The 18,567-nt window shown below is 39.4% G+C and overlaps 1 protein-coding gene and 1 long non-coding RNA gene across 5 annotated transcripts in view, besides 2 other annotated features; one reads left to right on the top strand and one right to left on the bottom strand.

Annotated features, from left to right (window-relative positions):
• The window catches only part of UGT2B7 (UDP glucuronosyltransferase family 2 member B7), a 61,613-nt gene extending 49,173 nt beyond the window's left edge, over window positions 1-12,440 (bottom strand). The window contains exon 1 of the mRNA NM_001349568.2: window positions 12,213-12,440. The gene's annotated coding sequence lies outside the window, so the exon portion shown is untranslated. The remainder of the gene's footprint in view (window positions 1-12,212) is intronic.
• Window positions 2,560-18,245, top strand: LOC105377265 (uncharacterized). Of its 4 annotated transcripts, XR_001741714.2 has the most exons (5): window positions 2,560-5,498; window positions 7,039-7,146; window positions 13,679-13,872; window positions 15,054-15,129; window positions 16,696-18,245. It is a non-coding gene; the product is annotated as an uncharacterized LOC105377265 (long non-coding RNA). The 4 variants fall into 4 exon arrangements; XR_938854.2 differs by lacking the exon at window positions 2,560-5,498 and having other exon boundaries at window positions 6,832-7,128; XR_938852.2 differs by lacking the exon at window positions 2,560-5,498 and having other exon boundaries at window positions 6,832-7,146; window positions 13,787-13,872.
• Window positions 8,719-8,768: a silencer, noted in NCBI's record as "silent region_15466". NCBI's record gives its function as "represses an Ori minimal core promoter by ATAC-STARR-seq in GM12878 lymphoblastoid cells {active_cell/tissue: GM12878}" and the evidence as "EXISTENCE:reporter gene assay evidence [ECO:0000049][PMID:35858748]".
• Window positions 9,117-9,317: a silencer, noted in NCBI's record as "peak5046 fragment used in MPRA reporter construct". NCBI's record gives its function as "represses an SCP1 promoter by STARR-seq MPRAs in K562 erythroleukemia cells {active_cell/tissue: K562}" and the evidence as "EXISTENCE:reporter gene assay evidence [ECO:0000049][PMID:32103011]".
• Window positions 18,246-18,567: the final 322 nt, after the last annotated feature.

The raw sequence follows: 18,567 nt of genomic DNA, 5'->3' as shown, positions 1-18,567 counted from the left end.
AGGGAACATTAAGCAACCTTTTAATATAGCCAACACTACCCCTACTGTTTTAAAACCACCAAAGGATGAAAACCAACCTCCTAAGAGGGAATCTGGAGACCATCTGGGTTCCAGGTCTGAACTGGGACATGAGCTATCTTCCACATCCTGGCAGCTATTTCTATGATGGCTTTCCTGTTATCATTAATTTCTAGGCAGCAATTCATCAGGCTCAACTTTCCACATAATCCTTCTTTTTGGGCTAGGAGGCAGTCTGAAGCCAGTCTATTCTAATAGATGGTGATCCTTATTTCTGTGGCTTGCTGGGCCAGCAAGTCTAACATATTTGCTGTCTCATTAGTGATGATTTCAAGTACCACCTGCAACCTTATGATGTGATTAAGCATGTAAATAGGGGTACAGTACCCCCTGACCTATCTTGTGCCCAGGTACCTATAGTATGTATGGTATAATAAAGTCTTAATTACTGTGTTTCTTTTTTTTTTTTTTTTTTTTTGAGACGGAGTCTCGCTCTGTCGCCCAGGCTGGAGTACAGTGGCACGATCTCGGCTCACTGCAAGCTCCGCCTTCCGGGTTCACGCCATTCTCCTGCCTCAGCCTCCCAAGTAGCTGGGACTACAGGCGCCCGCCACTACGCCCGGCTAATTTTTTGTATTTTTAGTAGAGACGGGGTTTCACCGTTTTAGCCGGGATGGTCTCGATCTCCTGACCTCGTGATCCGCCCGCCTCGGCCTCCCAAAGTGCTGGGATTACAGGCGTGAGCAATTACTGTGTTTCTTATCCATGTAGTGTGCATGCAGTGACGGCATCCTAATACGGGTCCTCCTTCTAGCATAGATATGGGGATCAGCACAAACAAAGCAAACAGTAGCATTCTTACAGCCAGCATGAACAGTAAAGGCATTTAGGGGGTTGGTTAAACAATAGCACAAGAGCAATATAATGAATAATACAAAGAAGATTACTGGGCCTAAGATTTCTGGCCACATTTATTCATCTGATGACGATTCTTCAAGCTTCGGCCGTGCATAGACTAGTCAGTTCTTGGTGTGACTAGAGCAGGGCTTGCTATTTTCTCAAGCTTCCACCATGCATAGACTGGTCATCTTCCAGAGTGACCAGAGCAGTGCTGTTGTCATCTCCACTGGCAATGTGGTCTCATTGCAGGATCATTCGGGTCAGATGGTCTATGTCCTGCTGGTTGGTCCACTGGTCCTGGGCTGATAATTTCAGCTGACTGTGGTGGATCCAAGGCACGATACCTGCAATTTTAACAACAGTGGGAGTGGACAAGATCACAATATGGGGCCCGTCCCATATGGGGCTCAGAATAGTTGGAGTCTATTTCTTAACCTAAACAAAGTCTTCAGGTTTGAAAGGGTGTACTGGGTCTGCCAGACTTATAGGCATTCTTTCCTGCGCTTAGCCATATACTTTTTGCATGGCCATATCTAAAGCCTGCATTTGCCTTCTTAAAGTTAGTTTTTGTAGCTCACGGAGATTACCTTTAATCTGACTTATGATTGGGGGTGGCTGGCTGAACAAAATCTCATTGGGCAAATACCCAGTGTGGTTTGTTTTGTGGGGGTGCACCTGACTTGGAGAAAGACCATGGGCAAGACCTGGTCCCACCTCAGATGAGTTTCCTGACAAAATTTCTTCAGCAGCTGCTTGAGTATCTGGTTCATGTGCTCCATCTTTACTGAGCACTGAGGCTGGTAGACTGGATGCAACTTCCATTTTATTTTTAACAGTCGAGTTAAGTCCTGAACGATTTCAGCCACAAATGCCAGTCCATTATCTGAACCCAAAGTTAGGGGCAGTCCAAATCTGGGAATAATGTCTCTTAACAATACCTTCATCAACTCTCATGCCTTCTCTGTCCTGACGGAGAAGGCCATGACCCATCCTGAAAAGGTACAGACAAGCACCAAAATGTACCTATAGACCCCTGCTTGGGGCAATTCGGAGAAGTCCATAAGCAGGTTTTCACAGGGCATAGCTCCTTTTTCCTGAATTCCCGGGGGCTGAGTGGGCCCTTTTCAGGGGTTGTTTTGGGCACAAGTTAAACGCTGTTTACAAATGGCTCAAGTAATAGCGGTGAGCCATTGCACATAGAAATGACACCCTAATCATGTCTCTAGCACCGTTTTTCTCATGTGAGTTCCTTGGAACTGTTTTGCAAATCTGGGGGCCAAGATTTCAGGTATGGCTAGCCTCCCATTGGAGAATTTCCACCATCTTCCTTCAACGTAATTCCCATTTTCCTGGGCAAATCAAGCCCTTTTATTTGGAGTGTAGCTTGGGGTCCCTGGAAGGGGAATCTCCAGGAGGAGAGGCATAGCTAAGGCTTCTTCTTTAGAATAGAAGGTGGAGTTGCCATTGCAGCTTGCTTTGCCTCTTTGTCTGCCTTTCTGTTTCCTTTAGCCTCTAATGTTCCTGCCTTTTGCCTACAGTGCATTACTGCTACCTGTTTGGGGGCCCATACCACATCCAGGAGCCGTAGAATTTCTTCATTACACTTTATTTCTTTACCTCCAGGAGTTAAGAGTCTTTTTTCTTTGTAAATAGCCCCATGAACATGCAAAGTGGCAAAAGCATATTTAGAGTCTGTGTAAATATTTGCCTTCTGGTCTTTTGCTAGCCAGAGAGCTCTTATAAGACCTATCAGCTTTGCTTTCTGAGAGGCAGTTCCTGTAGACAAAGACTGTGCCTCTACTGCTGAGTCCAAAGTCACCACTGCATACCCAGTTTGGTGGACTCCCTCTAGTATGAAGCTGCTCCCATCAGTAAAATATTCAATGTCCAGGTCTCCGAGGGGCCGATCTGTCAGATCTCTCTGGCTTGAGAACACTTCATCTACCACATCCACTCAGCAATGAAGGGGGCTTCCTGGCACTGATTCAATGGGGAGCAAGGTAGCTGGGTTTAGGGTACTCACAGTCTCTAAAGTTACACAGGGATTATCACATAGGAGCCCTTGGTATTGAGTTATTCTCGGATTCGAAAACCAATGGTGCCCCCTTTGGTCCATCAAAGTTATAACTGAGTGCAGTAGCTGGATTGTCACTTGCTGTCCTAAAGTCAGCTTATTAGCTTCCTGTGCCAGCCGAGCAGTGATAGCTAGTGTCTTAAAACAAAGACTCCATCCAGGTGCCACAGAATTCAATTGCCTGGATAGGTATGCCACCGGGTGATGCCACAATCCTATGGCTTGAGTTAGAACTCTTACGGCCATTCCCTTTTGCTCATGGACATATAAAAAGAAAGGCTTAGTTAGATCTGGCAGTCCTAAAGTTGGGGCCTGAGTCAAGGCTTCTTTGATTTCCTTAAAGGCCTTCTCCTGGTCAGCCTCCCAGAGGAGGAGCTCCTTTTTCCCCTCTTTGTGGCTTCATATAATGGCTTAGCCATGAGCGAGAAATTTGGGATCCAGATGCAGCAGGACCCTGCTGGCCCTAGGAACTCTCTTGTCACCGGGTGGTTGGAGTAGGAAGTGTACAAATGGTCTGCTTCTGTTCACTACCAAGCCATCTTTTCCTTTGGCTTATATAGAAGCCTAAATACTGGTCACTTTCAGAGCAGATTTGAGACTTGTTCCCTGACACTTTATATCCTGCCTTCCATAGCAAGTGCAGGAGGTCTTGGGTCCCCTCGAAGCAGTCCTCTCAGGTCGGGGCTGCTAGAAGAAGATCATCAATGTACTGGAGCAAGACACAGTCACTGTTTGGTGGGGTGTATGCTTTAAGGTCTGAGGCCTGTGCCTCTTCAAAGATTGTAGGAGAGTTTTTAAATCCTTGTGGGAGTCTTGTCCAAGTGTACTGTGATTTACCCCATTGAAAAGCAAAAATAGGCTCATTAATTGGTGCAAGCCAGAGACGGAAAAATGTATCCTTTAAATCTAGGACTGTAAATCAAGTGGCACTTGCTGGAATATGTCCCATTAAAGTATATGGGTTTGGCACCACTGGGTGGATGGTCACCGTGGCCTAGTTTTCCACACACAAATTCTGTACTGGTCTATATTCACCAGACGGCTTCCGCACTGGCAAGAGAGGGGTGTTCCATGGTGACTGGCATTTGACTATGATTCCATGTTTATGAAGACTCTAAATATTTGCGGACACCCAGTATGGCCTCAGGGAGTAGCAGGTACTGTTGGACCTGAACTGGATTTTAACTCTACCACCACTGGTGCCTGACTTACAGCCAGTCCAGGTGGGTTACTATCAGCCCAAACTCTGGGAATTTTAGTAAGCAACCCAGGCATTTCATTTACTCTTGGTTCCAGAGTCTTTTTTGCATATAGCCTCTATTCTTCAGCCTATGGTACAGTACGGGTTAACATCATAGCCTCCGGGTGAGGTAGATTTAAAGTTACATTCCCTTGTGGCCCAAATGTAATCTGTACCTGCAGTTTTTGAAGTAGGTCTCTTCCCAGCAAAGGAACAGAACCATTTGGGATGAGAATTCAGGTTGGACTTCTCATCCTCCTATAACACACCTCTTTGACCAACCGATGGGCCTCTTTTCAGAGACTCCAGTGGCTCCCACAATAGTTGCACAGTTCTTGGATAGTGGCCCTATAGGTTGGGTCACTACTGAGTGTTTAGCTCTGGTGTCTACCATAAAGTCCATTAGCTGGCCTCTAACTTCCAATCTGGCCATGGGCTTCTCAGGGCCCAAAGAGAAGCAGCCTGGTCTGTCCTAGTCCTCATATCCTTCAGCCCCTGCCAGTCTGATCAGATCAGTGCCTGGTTTCTCCTGGGTGTGGCAGCCCCTGGCTGGTGGCCTTCCTGTACGATGGCCCTGACCCTTCTCCTTATTATTATTCTCTGGACACTCATCCTTCCAGTGTCCTTGTCTTTTGCACTGTGCACACTGATCTCTTTCCAACCTGGGCCTGCTCTCAAATCCCTGTCCATACTGGCTTCTTCCATGCCCACTTCCATGCCCACATCACGCCACCTTGCAAAGCCAGCTTCCCTCCCTGTGAGAGCTGCTGCCAGCCAATCAGCCTTTTTCTTAAGCCTTTGATTAGCCTCTGTCTTTGCCTCCTGATCTCCGTTAATGTACAACTTGTGGCCACTTCAATAAACTGAATAGCATTCATGCCTGCAAAACCTTCCATTTTCTGCAATTTTTGCCTGATATCCCCCTGGGCCTGCTCTACAAATGCCGTGTTCAGCATGTGCTGGCCTCACTAAGTCTTTTATAAAACTGGCTGGGGCTTTCATATGCACCCTGAAGCACCTATGAGATTTTTCCCTATATTGATTGCCTTTCTCCCGCCTTCCCTTAAACTTTGCAGGAGTGCCTTTTGGTATCTGGGCAGCTGCTGTAGTTGGGCTGCCTCATTTGGGTCCTAGTCGGGGTCCTCTTGTTTCCCAGAAAGGCATTTGCATAGCCCAAACATGACCTGACTGGAGACAAGTTTGCTTTATTTTCCTAGCATTTCACCTTAACTTCCTGGAGTGAGGGCTCAGATTTTTCCATCTCAGGTGAGACTGGGGCATGTATCCCTTTGAGCTTGACTCCTCAGAGGCAGTAACTCTGGGTAAAGGTGGGTAGATTGGAGCATATGGAGGAAGGGTCTCTTCCCTCCAGTGGTTCTTGCAAAACTGGGTTTTCCTGTGGCTTTCTTTTTGTCTCTGTGTTTGCCAGAGAAGATTTCACTTTCAGCTCAGCTCAGGCTACAAGCTCCTGTGACTTTCCCTTTAACTCTGTTTTCACTTTGTCTTTGTAGCTGCCAGCACAGCTGATTACTCTCGGCTTGAACTGCGAGCATTCTGCAATAAGCTGCTAAACAGGGCTGCATTCAGCCATGAGTTAATATAAGGAAATTTGGTCTGAATGCCCTGACTGTCCTCTGACTCCGGTCACCACCTTAAACACAGGGCCAATTGTGTCCCTATCTATAAGTACATTTGGCCAGCCAGCCAACACCAAAAGAGGGCTATTCTAATTCACAGAGAGCTCTCAGCATTCAGTGGGTTAACTTGACTCCCTAACCACCACCCCCTCCACCACAAAGCCTTTCTTAAAGTTCTTTAACATGAATTCCAATGGGGTGGGTTTTGAGGATTTTCCTCCCATTTCCTGCCAGTTACAACACAGCACATTCACCTTTCCTTTCATTTTAGACCAGTCGGACCCGGTTGTTCCTACACTTTGCTCAGATAGATGCTGGGATTGTTTCAAGGTCTGAGCTTTTGTAATAGTGCTGTTATGAATATGGATGTGCAAATATCCCTTTGAGATCCTGATTTTAATTCTTATGGATAAATATCCAGAAGAGGGATTGCTGCATCATATGGTAATCTTACGTTAAATATTTTGAGAAACCTCCATACTGTTTTCAGTAGTGTCAATTTTTTAAACAAACCTCATCACTCAGTTCCTTTGGAAGGAGGTATGTGCCACAAGATACATTTCCTCTATTATTAATGCACAGTCATGCAAGTGTGCGTGTGTGTGTGTGTAGCAGGACAAGCCACAGGCAAAACTTCTCAGACACCGAGTTGTAGAAGGAAGGGCTTTATTCAGCTGGGAGCATCAGCAAGCTACTGCCTTAAAATCTGAGCTCCCCAAATACACAATTTCTGTCCCTTTTAAGGGCTCACAACACTGAAGATTTCACATGAAAAGTTCATGATTGATTTGAGCAAGCAGGTGGTGCATGACAGGGGCTGCACGCACTGGTGGTCAGAGAGAAACAGAACAGGGCAGGGAGTTTCACCATGTTCTTCTATACAATGTCTGGAATTTATGAATAACATCAGTTTCTAAGTCATGAGTTGATTTTTAACTACTAGGTTTAAGCCAGGCAGGCCCAGGGCTGGTTTTGGGCATGGTGCTGGGCTGCCTGTCTTTGATTTCACTTATTTGTTTTTTTCTTAAAACAGGTACTGAGGATAAAACAATATAAAATAATATGAGAGGGTCTTTCTCTTCCTTCATTCCCCCCTTTTGAGACTCTCACTTTTTATTAGCGGGAGTTCTCACTCTTATTTTTGTTACTTATGTCTTTTTGTGCAACAGATTGATAGTGATTTATATAGTACACTTGTGCTGAAGCACTTTGGTGAACTAAGGTAGCGATGAAGCTTTTTATCATTTGAAGAAGTACAGGTAGGAAACAAAGGAGCGGTAAGTAGGTTCTTAATTACTATTATTACTCTTATTATAAGAGTTTTAAATCTTCCTATTGCTGGGAACTAATTTTTAAACATGGCTTCCAGATTGTGTCCGTGCCACACTTGCATGGGTACATGTGCCAGTTTTGTTATGTCTTTAACTATATCCTCAACTACTTGTCCTTGATCATCTATGTGTAGACAACAATTAGTAAGGTTAAATTTTCTACAAACTTTTCTTTCAGCTGCTAGCAAGTAGTCGAGAACTAGTCTATTTTGATAGATCGCATTTCTCATCAGAGTCTCTTGACGGGCAAGAACAGTCAAGGCTTGATCGGTTTTATTAGTAATAATTTCTAAAACAGCTTGTAACCGTATGATTCGGTTGAGCATTTAGATGGGGGTCTAGTATCTTCATGAGCCATCTTGTGCCCAAGTGGCAGGTCCATAGTATTGTATGATTTTTTCAGGGGGCCATTTATTATCTTTTTAATCACCTATGGCTGTGCTTCCTTTTTTGTGGGAAGCATAGACTGGGAAGCCTAGAAGTTTACCTGTTTTTATGGGCAGTAAGAAGAAAGAAGGCTTAATGGTGCCAATTGCACAGCTACCTCTCCACTGATCAGGCAGCTTAGCATAAGCTCTGTGTCTACATATCTAGTATAACCTGGTGGGGACCATCCAGTCCTGGTAGAATTCTGGGTGGGCCTAAACAGTATGCAACTTTGGAAATTTACTGAATGGATTTCTTTCTGTGTAATTGGAACTCCACCATGTAACTGTTTTTGTGGTACTATTATAGAGCTTTTGTCTAAGACAGCTAAGCTGCCTTACAGGATGAGCGAATCCTTTTCTTTCTTTAGATATGCAATACTGTCTAATAATTGAGACTTTTAGAACCTAGAGATGATCAGGGTGATTCTTTTGGTCTGGGAATTCATCAGGAACTGGGTCTTTAGGAACTAATTCTGGGGCTTCCCATGGCCATTGATCTCCTGTTACGGTTTTTCCACAAACATAACGTGAAGTGACTTGTAGAGACTGGGCTATGTGTTCGGCTAATTGCAAAAACAAATTTTTAGTTTTTCCTGGAATCTCGGGTACTGGCACATTTAGTTCATCATAGAAAGTCTGAAATACTGGTTCTGGATAGTGTTCTTGAACTTCTTCTTTTATTAGGATGCTTACACTAGGATCTAGTCTTTTTCTGTTAATGTCTAATGTTACATATTTTTCTTTATTTTACTTTGGGTCTGAGGGGTTTGTGATTATCAATTTTAAAAGGTTGCAGCTCCTACTCATGCAGGAGGGGAGGGGCTGACCTTTTTTTTTTTTTGGAGTCAAACAGGATCCTTTTTATCTTTTTTTAAGTAGTCTAAATGACACAAGACCAGTATTAACACATCTCACAAAAATATGATTCTTGACAGATATACTTATTTTTTTACTGTGTAACTAGTTTTTCAATTTAGAGAACCACATCTTATCTCATGCTGCTTACTATTAATAGCAGCACAAGTGCCAAATTTTAAGATTACGTTTTTGGGGACCTTTCTTTTTTTTTTTTTTTTTTTTTTTTTTTTAGCTATTACTTTACTTCTGTCACTTAGAAAAGGATCAGTCCTTAATCATGGGAGGCTTACAGTGAGTCATAACACGCATCAGGCTGGTCACTTCCTGGATTACATACTTTGTACTGAGTGTTATTGTACAAACAAGTTCCTTTTGGAGTTCCTAGGCATTCATAATAACTATAAAATAATAGGACTGTAGCAATCTTTTTTCCTACCTCAGTGACTTGATGTATATACTGGGAACAGCCCTCAGTCTGAGGAAGTTCAGCTGAAGTCCTTAATGTACAAGTCCAAATTTTAAGGAAAATGAGTCCTGCGATGAGTTTCCTCATGCTTCAGCCGTGCGTGGACCAGTCAGCTTCTGGGTGTGACTGGAGCAGGGCTTGTAGTCTTCTTCAGAGTCACTTTGCAGGGGTTGGTGACGCTGCTCCTATCTACATACAACTCCTAGTCTACTGATGGTTAAGGATTGTCTCGGAGGTTGGGCCTACTAGAATAAACTGAGTCCAGCACCTCTAAACAGTTATGTTTAACTAGGCTCTCTGATACCAGGAGTAAGGTGGCAGGGTTAGGGTGTTGCAAACTTCAATGGTTATGTGGGGATTTTCACAGAGCAAGCTTTGGTATCTACTTAGTGTAACATTTATTAGCTAATGGTGTCCTTTAGTATTTATTAAAATCACCACAGCATGGGGAGACTTTATGTTTAGGTTTTGTCTAAGAGTTAGCTTATCTGCTTCTTGTGGTAACAGGGCCATTGCTGCCAGGGCCCTTGGACATGGGGGCCAGCCTTTGGAAACCCTGTCTTTTTGTTTTGAGAGATAGGCCACTGGCCTTGGCCAGTGCCCCACAGTCTGAGTTAAAACTCCAACTGCCATTTTTTTCTTTTCTGACACACAGACTTCACAGAGTCAGGTCAGGTAACCTCAGGGCTGGGGCCGACATGAGTTTTTTTTTTTTTAACTCATGAAAAGCTCTTTGCTGTTGGTTGTAATAGATGTAGTTTATCTAATCTACATTTTTATTCACTGTCATCTACCAAAATATTGACTTAAATCCTGTAGCTATTTGATTTCAAGCTTTAAATTGATCTGGTATTCCTTGCGGGGCTCTAATTGCATCTAAATAGATATGAGAGTTGGAAGACCTATAAGGGGCTTCTCTCGCTTTATGATATCTTATTATTTTCTTTTCTTCCTCTGGTTGATGAAATGCCAGGATGAAAGGGATAGCCAAATGGACTAAAGCACAAGTGCCACTCTACTTATTCAGCAGAGTACCTAGTAAAGGTCCACCACAATACCACCACACATCTGCTCGGGGATGAACAACGGCTGACTGATTGATAACCTTTCGAAAATTCTTAAGCTCACTGCATCCTTTCAGGTCTCTAAGGAATGCTGTCTCCTCCCTGCTGTGAGAGACACGAAGTGAACTTAGTGTTGGGAGATGGAAGCTGGATGGCCCTCGGAGGCTGACCCACAGGGACTTCAGGATATAGCAGAGAGAGCTTGGCATGACTTATTACTCCAGGCTGTAGAATCCTGGAAAAGAGTTACCATGCAGCCTACGCCTGGTCAACTGGAGGACCACTGTAGTGGAAAGGGGACAATTAGGGCCTCTGGCCTGCCATGTGCACAAGCATAACAATTGCTTTTGTTTAACGTGCAGATGGAATATTTGATCTATTTCAACCAGGCATTTGCATCTTGGTATGCTGTCTTAATTGCCAAAGTTTTTTTTAAGTCTTTAACTTCTGTGATCTTCTAGTAAAATGAATGTTTCCTTTAGCACCAATTTGTATTAGTTTTTAGACCAAAGAAAGCTAAACACCATTTCATATTTAATAATGCTTCTTGTATGATTTTTATACCAGATAAGCTAAATTTTACCTTTATATTAGTATGCTATTAATATTAAACTTAATTTTAATAAAACCTTGAAGACATATTTATCTAATTTTTCATGTTTGACCATAAGGTAAGATTTTATAGACTCTTTTTAACCTTTTATAATTTTTGTTAAAGAGCAGGTTGATGCTTTAAGAAAAAAAACCTGTTGCATTTTTACTTTTATGTCTAGTTCGCAGAAAAACTGGATGATATCTTTTTAACTTTAGCTAATATGTTTACACACAGACTTTTCTTTACAATTAATGTTTTAAAACTTGCTTAAACTTTTAAAACAATAATTTTTTTAACCTTTTAATGTAGGTAAAAATCCACATTTTTATGCCTCCTTATAATCTTTTTACCAAAGGTATGTTTTACTTTTTTATACACTTTGCACATAAACTGTTTCTTCAATAGTACTCAAGAGGCCAAATTACTTTTAAATTATAAAACCTTTTTGCATAAATTTTTATAACTTTTTTTCACGACTTCCACTGACAATTCTTCAACATGTCTCAACTTTTTGACTTATTACAAACATTTTTTTCTTGAAACAACCAATTTATTTCAGAACAAGAATTTACCATATAACACTCTTTTTACGTAAATTTTGCCTCCCCTTCTTTTTTTTTTTTTTTTTTTTTTTGAAGATAACCATTTCTTTTTTTTTAAGCAAACTTTTTTGATGTCTTTGGACTAGACTGTCTAAGGCCACAAGATTAGAATTTACCATAATATGTGTTACACTGTTAACTTTTAGCAAACTTCACTTTTGTTGAAAACCTTGTAAGTTTGGGATTTCAATTATCCTTTGCTATTAATAAGACCTTGTTTAGTCTAAATTAACTTAGAATTGGTATAGATGGCCTTTTTTTTCTCTCTGCTGGTCTTTCCTTGCCTCTGCCAGCTGCTTATGCTGCTGTTCTCTTAACTACTGTTGGGGGGGAAGGGGTCTAAAGACAGCTGTAACTGTCTATGTATGGAAACTGGTCTTGGTGCCTTGGTTTACAGGTTACTTTGTGTCATACCTTTGAAACAAGGGACCTGTCCAGGCTTCCTTCTGATGTCCAACCTACCTCTAATGCTGGCCAGTCTATTTCACACAAAGCTCTAAGTTTTCCTGGAGTCATAGTGACTCCATAGTCTCCATTAAATCCTTTCTTGAAATTCTTTAACATAGTTCTCAGTGGGGTGGGCTTACTTTGCACCTGATCCATGTTTTTTCGAGGCAAAACACCACGCTCACACCACACACACACCACAAAACAAAGAACAGGTAAAAGGGCACACACACACTTTTGCAGTTTATACCAAACCAAAATCAAAACCAAAATCAGCATACCCAGAAATTCAAGCCAGGCCAAAAACCGAAACCAAAGTATCCAGCAATTCAAGTCAAGTCAAAACCAGAACAAAGGTGCCAATAAGGGCACACCTTGGGTTGATCAGGCCACGCTTCCACTTAGGTGGAGTGGGGCAAGTTCAAAAGACTAGTCCTACCAAGTCAAGCCGAGTCAAAACCAGAACAAAGGTGCCAATACAGGCACACCGTGGGTGATCAGGCCACACTTCCACTCAGGTGGAGTGGGGCAAGTTCCAAAGACTAGTCTTACCAAATTTTAGATGTCTGGACTCCAAGTGCCAGTTCCTTCCTGGTGTTCAGCCACTGTGTTAATCCTCTGCGAGGGCCTGCTACCTGCTTCTCTGGTGAGGGATTCCACCGGGGCAATTTCCTACCCAGGAGGGCTCTTTGGATCATGTCACTCAGGCTGGCTGGAGTCCCCCACAGGGGCACTCCACAAGGCAGGCTTAAGTTGCCTAAGGGGCTGCCTCAGCTGTCTGTCAGTCACGTTGCTTCCCGGTCAGGGAGCCAAGAAATGTAACAGGAGGAGCCGCAGACAAAACTCAAGACACCGAGTTGTAGAAAGAAGGGACTTATTCAGCTGGGAGCATCAGCAAGCTACTGCCTTAAAATCCAAGCTCCCCAAATGCACAATTTCTGTCCCTTTTAAGGGCTCACAACACTAAAGATTTCACATGAAAGGGTCGTGATTGATTTGAGCAAGCAGGCGGTACTTGACAGGGGCTGCATGCACCGGTGGTCAGAGAGAAACAGAACAGGGCAGGGAGTTTCACAATGTTCTTCTATATAATGTCTGGAATCTATGAGTAACATCGGTTTCTAAGTTATGAGTTGATTTTTAACTACTAGGTTTAGGCCAGGCAGGCCCAGGGCTGGTTTTGGGCCTGGCGCCGGGCTGCCTATCTTTGATTTCACTTATTTGTTTTTTTCTTAAAACAGGTACTGAGGATAAAACAATATAAAATAATATGAGAGGGTCTTTCTCTTCCTTCATGTGTGTTTGACTTAGTATATATAATAAGAATTAAAATAGCATCTTTACAGAGTAGTGGGAAAGATACTGTTAAAAAATATGGAAACCAGACTCTTCATTTATAATATTTTAATCCCTAGTATGGATTCTTAGGAAGACTAGTGTTATTTGTTTACTTATCTTTAATTTTATATTGTTACAGCTCTGCTAAATCACTTGTATTTATTCCAGGCAGCTTTTCTGTTTAGCCATGAGAATTTATTTCCCTGACTATGAGCACAAAGGAAAAGTTACTTGTGATTGGGAAGATGTTATATATTTCTCTTAACTATGTAATCCAACATAAAACATTTTTTTCATGATCTTATTGGACATTTGCATATTCCCTGGTAAAATTCCTGTTTAGATTTTTAAACATTTTTTGATTATGTTATTTGTCTTTTTAACATTGAGCTGTAAGCTTTCTTTATTTTTTTTTATATAAGTAAGTCACTTATCAGGTATGTAACTTGCAAATAGATACTTCAAACTCTGGTTTCTCTTTTGACTTTATTGAAGGTGTTCTTTGATGTGTGAAAAATTTTAATTTGATGAAACCTAATTTATCAATTTTATTTTGGTTGCTCCTGCTCCTGGTGTCATATCTAAAAACTTTGCCACATTCAATGTTACAAAAAAATTTTACTTTGCTGTATATACAATTGTTTTTTGTGCTTGAAATATTAATGAATTCATCCTTTCAGCAACCCCATGAGGTTGATAATACTATGACCACCAATGCCATTTCATTGGTGAGGAAGTTGAAGCAAATAAAGTCCAAGTAACTTGTCCAACCCCACATCATTATGTAGTGGTTTCTCAGAGACTTGAATGAAGGGCATCTGGATCCAGAGTGCCAGCTCTTAACCACCATGTTATGCTGAGTCTTCTATTTGAGGTACAGATATTTTCAAAATATAATATTCCCTATTTTCCACTCATGTAGCTATATATTAATTGTAATTTTATTACAAATGTATAATTTAAAATATGTAGATTTATTATTCCAGTTATATATCACTGCATGACAAATTGTTTCCAAATGTCAGGCCTTAAAACAACTGTAATCATTTTATTATCATCGCTCAGAGTTTGGGTGTTGGTTGAGCTCAATTATGTGTTCCTTCCACAGAGTTTCTTAGGTAGCTACTTTCCTACGGTGCCTCGGTCTATAATTATCTGAAGATCATTCACTTACATACTTAATGATTCAAGTTGAAGGGCTCAAAGTGCTAGTGGGCTACCAGGATTTCTTGGGCATATATCTGTGTCTCTCTACCAAATTGTCATTTATTACGGGGACTACAGATGGAGTTGAGGAGGTGTAGAGAGAAAAAGAAACATACAAACAAAAGATCCAAAGAGAGAGGGAGAAAGAGAGAGAGAACACTTTGTGTTTCCAACAGAACTTTGTAAGATAAGCTGCATTATTTCCACTATATCGTTTCTGTTGAGACAGCTACAAGGTTTGCCAAACTTCAAAGGGAGGGGATATTACTTGACAGGAAAATTGTCAAAGTATTTATAGTCATGTCACAAAAATCACAACCAATATAACCTTTTGAAGAAGACAGTAGAAGTTGTTAAGTTATTGTAAGATTCATAAAATATTAAAAATAATAAAAAAACAAAATATGAAAATTATGTGAATTTAGATATCTACAGTTCTTGCAATTTTTTAAACATTGTATTATATGTATCCATAGGTATTTTAAACATGGAATAAGGGTTCTAAAAAAAGCTGCAAATGAATAAAATAGCATGTGAGAAACATGATCAATTCAAGTTTTTTGAATAACACTAATGAATTAATAACGAGATGTTAATTTTTCAAACGTCGTGTACTGATTTTATGTTTATTTCACAAATTCATTTTTAAACCTCATAAATAACACATGAAAATATTGTAAAAAGTTAAATACTGCAGGATTCTGTAGAATAAAATCTAAAATTCCCATCCTTATATTTATGTGTATTCTTCTAGATTTTTTTTCATTGTACAAGTTTACATATATTTTATTTTATTTCATTACAAGTACAAGTAAGCCTTTTTTTCTGGAAACTACTTTTTCTATTTAGCAATGGAATAAACTGTTCTCTGCAATGACTACACTCACATTTGTTGGAGCTATGTGTGTTCATTGACTGGAGCCAAGTAAGTGCTGGAGGAAATATTCTGTTCATACATGTGCTTATATGGAAGGATTTCTGCATGATAGATTTATAGATGTAGAACTTCAGTTTCAAACTGTATATTGACATTTTATTTTAGAAGGTTATTTTGCATTATACTCCCTCAAAAATAGATTTTTCAGGTTTTTATAGGTTGCAAATCTCTAGAGCATTAATTTATTGGCATTGTTTCTATTTTCCTGAGCATCAGTTACTTTATAATCTTTTATATGTTTTTGGGAATTTCTACTTTGAAGTGCCTGTTCATATTTTCATTAAGTTTTATATTGGAATGTTTCTCCTTTTTAGTTGGTGATTGTAGTACTCACTAAACAATAGATACCCACCTTTTAAGTGTGTTGTAGAATAGGTTTACTGTGAATTATTTCAGGCTTATAAGAATGATAAAACAACATTTTTAGCCTTTGCCACCTTGTTATTCCTGTTTTCCTTTATAAATGTATCAATACCAGGATGATTTGTGTAAAATATTCTGTTATACACACTTCCTATAATTTCTTTAACATCATTGTTTTAGTGCATGTGTGTGTGTGTATGACATGATTTATATATATGTATACAAATACAAATCTACATATTTAGTGATATATATAGTGATATATATAACATATATGTGTGTGTGTATATATAGTGATATATATGTGTGTATATATACACACATGTTTATATAGTGACATATATTTAAATCATGCCTTAGGCCGAATAATATTTGTTGGGAGACTTGTTTAGTGATAAGACTTCTGATTAACAAAGACAACTGGGTTTCTGTCAATCTGGACCACTTTGATCATAAAGTGCTTCCCTGATGTGCAGATTAAAGGAGGTTTATGGCTTGACTTAGCTATTTTCCACAAAATTTATAAACTTTTTGTATTCTTTGTAGATGTATTTTTGTTATGCTAAAAAATGTAGTGTTGCCAAATTATATTTATCGGAGGGAAAGATCAAAAGACTGTGGAAAAGAGAAAAAAAAATTAGACTTGATCATTTAAAGTATAGTTATGTAGAATAATAATTATAAATTCAAACTGTCTTCAATAAACACATTGAATTTCCCAACATAGCTATTAGATTGTAAAGTGATGCTGTGTCTTGTTTCAAAAGAAATGGACATGTATATGTGCCTGTATGTTCATCAAGATTGAAAATTCACTAAGTCCCTTTAGAATGCATTTCCTATATTATCACAAACTAAAATTAAGAACTTGTATTTGCTATTAAAGGTCAAAATGAGAATAAAACCGATATGAAATTTAGGATTGTTTTTTCTAGTTCTGTTAAGAATGATTATGGTATGTTTAGGAGAATGGCATTGAACTCATAGATTGCTTTTGGCTGTATTGTCATTTTCATAAAATTGATTTTACCCATCCATGAGCATGAGAGATGTTTCCATTTGTTTGTGTCATCTATGATTTTTTTTGACAGTATTTTGTAGGTTTCATAGTTTTCTTAGTAGAGGTCTTTCACCTTCTTGGTTGGATATATTTCTAAGTATTTTATTTTATTTTTTTTCTTTTTGATTCAGCTGTTGTGAAATGGGTTGAATTCTTGATTTGATTCTTGGCTTGAAGTCTGCATAGCCAAAGCAAGACTAAGCAAAAAGAACAAATCTGGAGGTATCACATTACCCAACTTCAAACTACTACAAGGCTGTAGCTACTGAAACAGGATGGCAAAGGCATAAAAACAGACATGTGGACCAATGGAACAGAATCCAGATTCCAGAAATAAAGCCAAATACTTATTGCCAACTGATCTTTGACAAAGCAAACAAAAACATAAAGTGGAGAAAGGACACCCTATTCAACCAGTGGTGCTGGGATAATTGACAAGTCACTTGTAGTACAATGGTACTGAATCCACATCTCTCGACTTATAAAAAAGAATCTACTTAAGATGGATGAAAAAATTAAACCTAAGACCTGAAACAATAAAAATTCTAGGACAGAACATCAGAAAGTCTCTTCTAGACATTGGCTTAACAAGGACTTCATGAGCAAGAACCCAAAAGGAAGTGCAACAAAAACAAAGATAAATAGATGTGACTTAATTAAACTAAAAAGCTTCTGCACAGCAAAAGAAATAATCAGCTGAATAAACAGACAACTCACAGAATGGGAGAAAATATTCACAAACTATGTACCTGACAAAGGACTAATATTCAGAATCTACGAAAATTCAAACAGACGAGAGAAAAACAAATAATATCATCAAAAATTAGGCTAAGATCATGAATTGACAATTCTCAAAAGAAAATATACAAATGGACAACAAACATAAAAAAAATGCTCAACATCACTAATTATCATGGAAATGCAAATCAAAACCACAATGCAATACTACTGTCCTCCTGTAAGAATGGACATCATTAAAAAAAAACAGAAAATAATACAATATTGGCATGGATGTAGTAAAAAGGAACACTTTTACACTACTGGTGGGAATGTAAACTAGTACAACCACTATAGAAAACAGTATGGACATTCCTTAAGAACTAAAAGTAGATCTACATTTTTACCCAGCTATCCTACTACTGGATATCTACACAGAAAAAAAGAAGTCATTATTTGCAAAGACTTATGCAAATCTTTACAGCAGTACAATTCCCAACTGTAAAAATATGGAACAAACCTAAATGCCCATCAACCAATGGGTGGATAAAGAAAATATGATATGTATGTATGTGTGTGTATATATATATATATACACACACACACATATATATAATATACACCCCCCATACACACAGACACACACCTTGGAATACTACTCAGTCATAAAGAGGAAGAAAATAATGCCATTAACAGCAACCTGGATGGAATTGGAGACCAGTATTCTAAGTGAAGTAATTCAGGATTAGGTAACTAAACATTGGATGTTCTCACTTATAAGTGGGAGCTAAGCTATGAAAATTCAAAGCCATAAGAATAATATAATGGACTCTCAGGACTCAGGGAAGGTTGGAGTGGGAAGAGGGATAAAAGACTATACATTGGGTGCTGTGTACACTGCTCGGATGATGGGTGTGCCAAAATTTCAGAAATCACAACTAAATAAATTATCCATCAAATCAAACACCACCTGTTCCCTAAAATCTATTGAAATAATTTAAAATATGAGAATAAAATCAAACAGATGAATATTTTTAAATGACCAGAAAAAATGGGTAAACTGAGACTCAGGATGAAAGACTGGCTCAGCAGAAGGGTGGGACTTGACCCCAGCTCTCCTGACTTTTAGTCCGGTGTTCTCTCCACCACTCACTTACTCATTTCTCCATTTTTAATTTTTTTTTTGGACAAAGATGTATTGATTTTGTTGATATCACATGGAAAGCCTGAATTGGCTCATAGAACCAAAGGCTTTGTAAAATAGTTCAATATTACTGTAGGAAGCA

Source organism: Homo sapiens, chromosome 4, assembly GCF_000001405.40.
Source record: "Homo sapiens chromosome 4, GRCh38.p14 Primary Assembly".
In the NCBI taxonomy this organism is placed as follows: Eukaryota; Metazoa; Chordata; class Mammalia; order Primates; family Hominidae; genus Homo; species Homo sapiens.
Note: the sequence above shows the minus strand (reverse complement) of the source record. Positions and strands in the feature narration are given on the sequence as shown.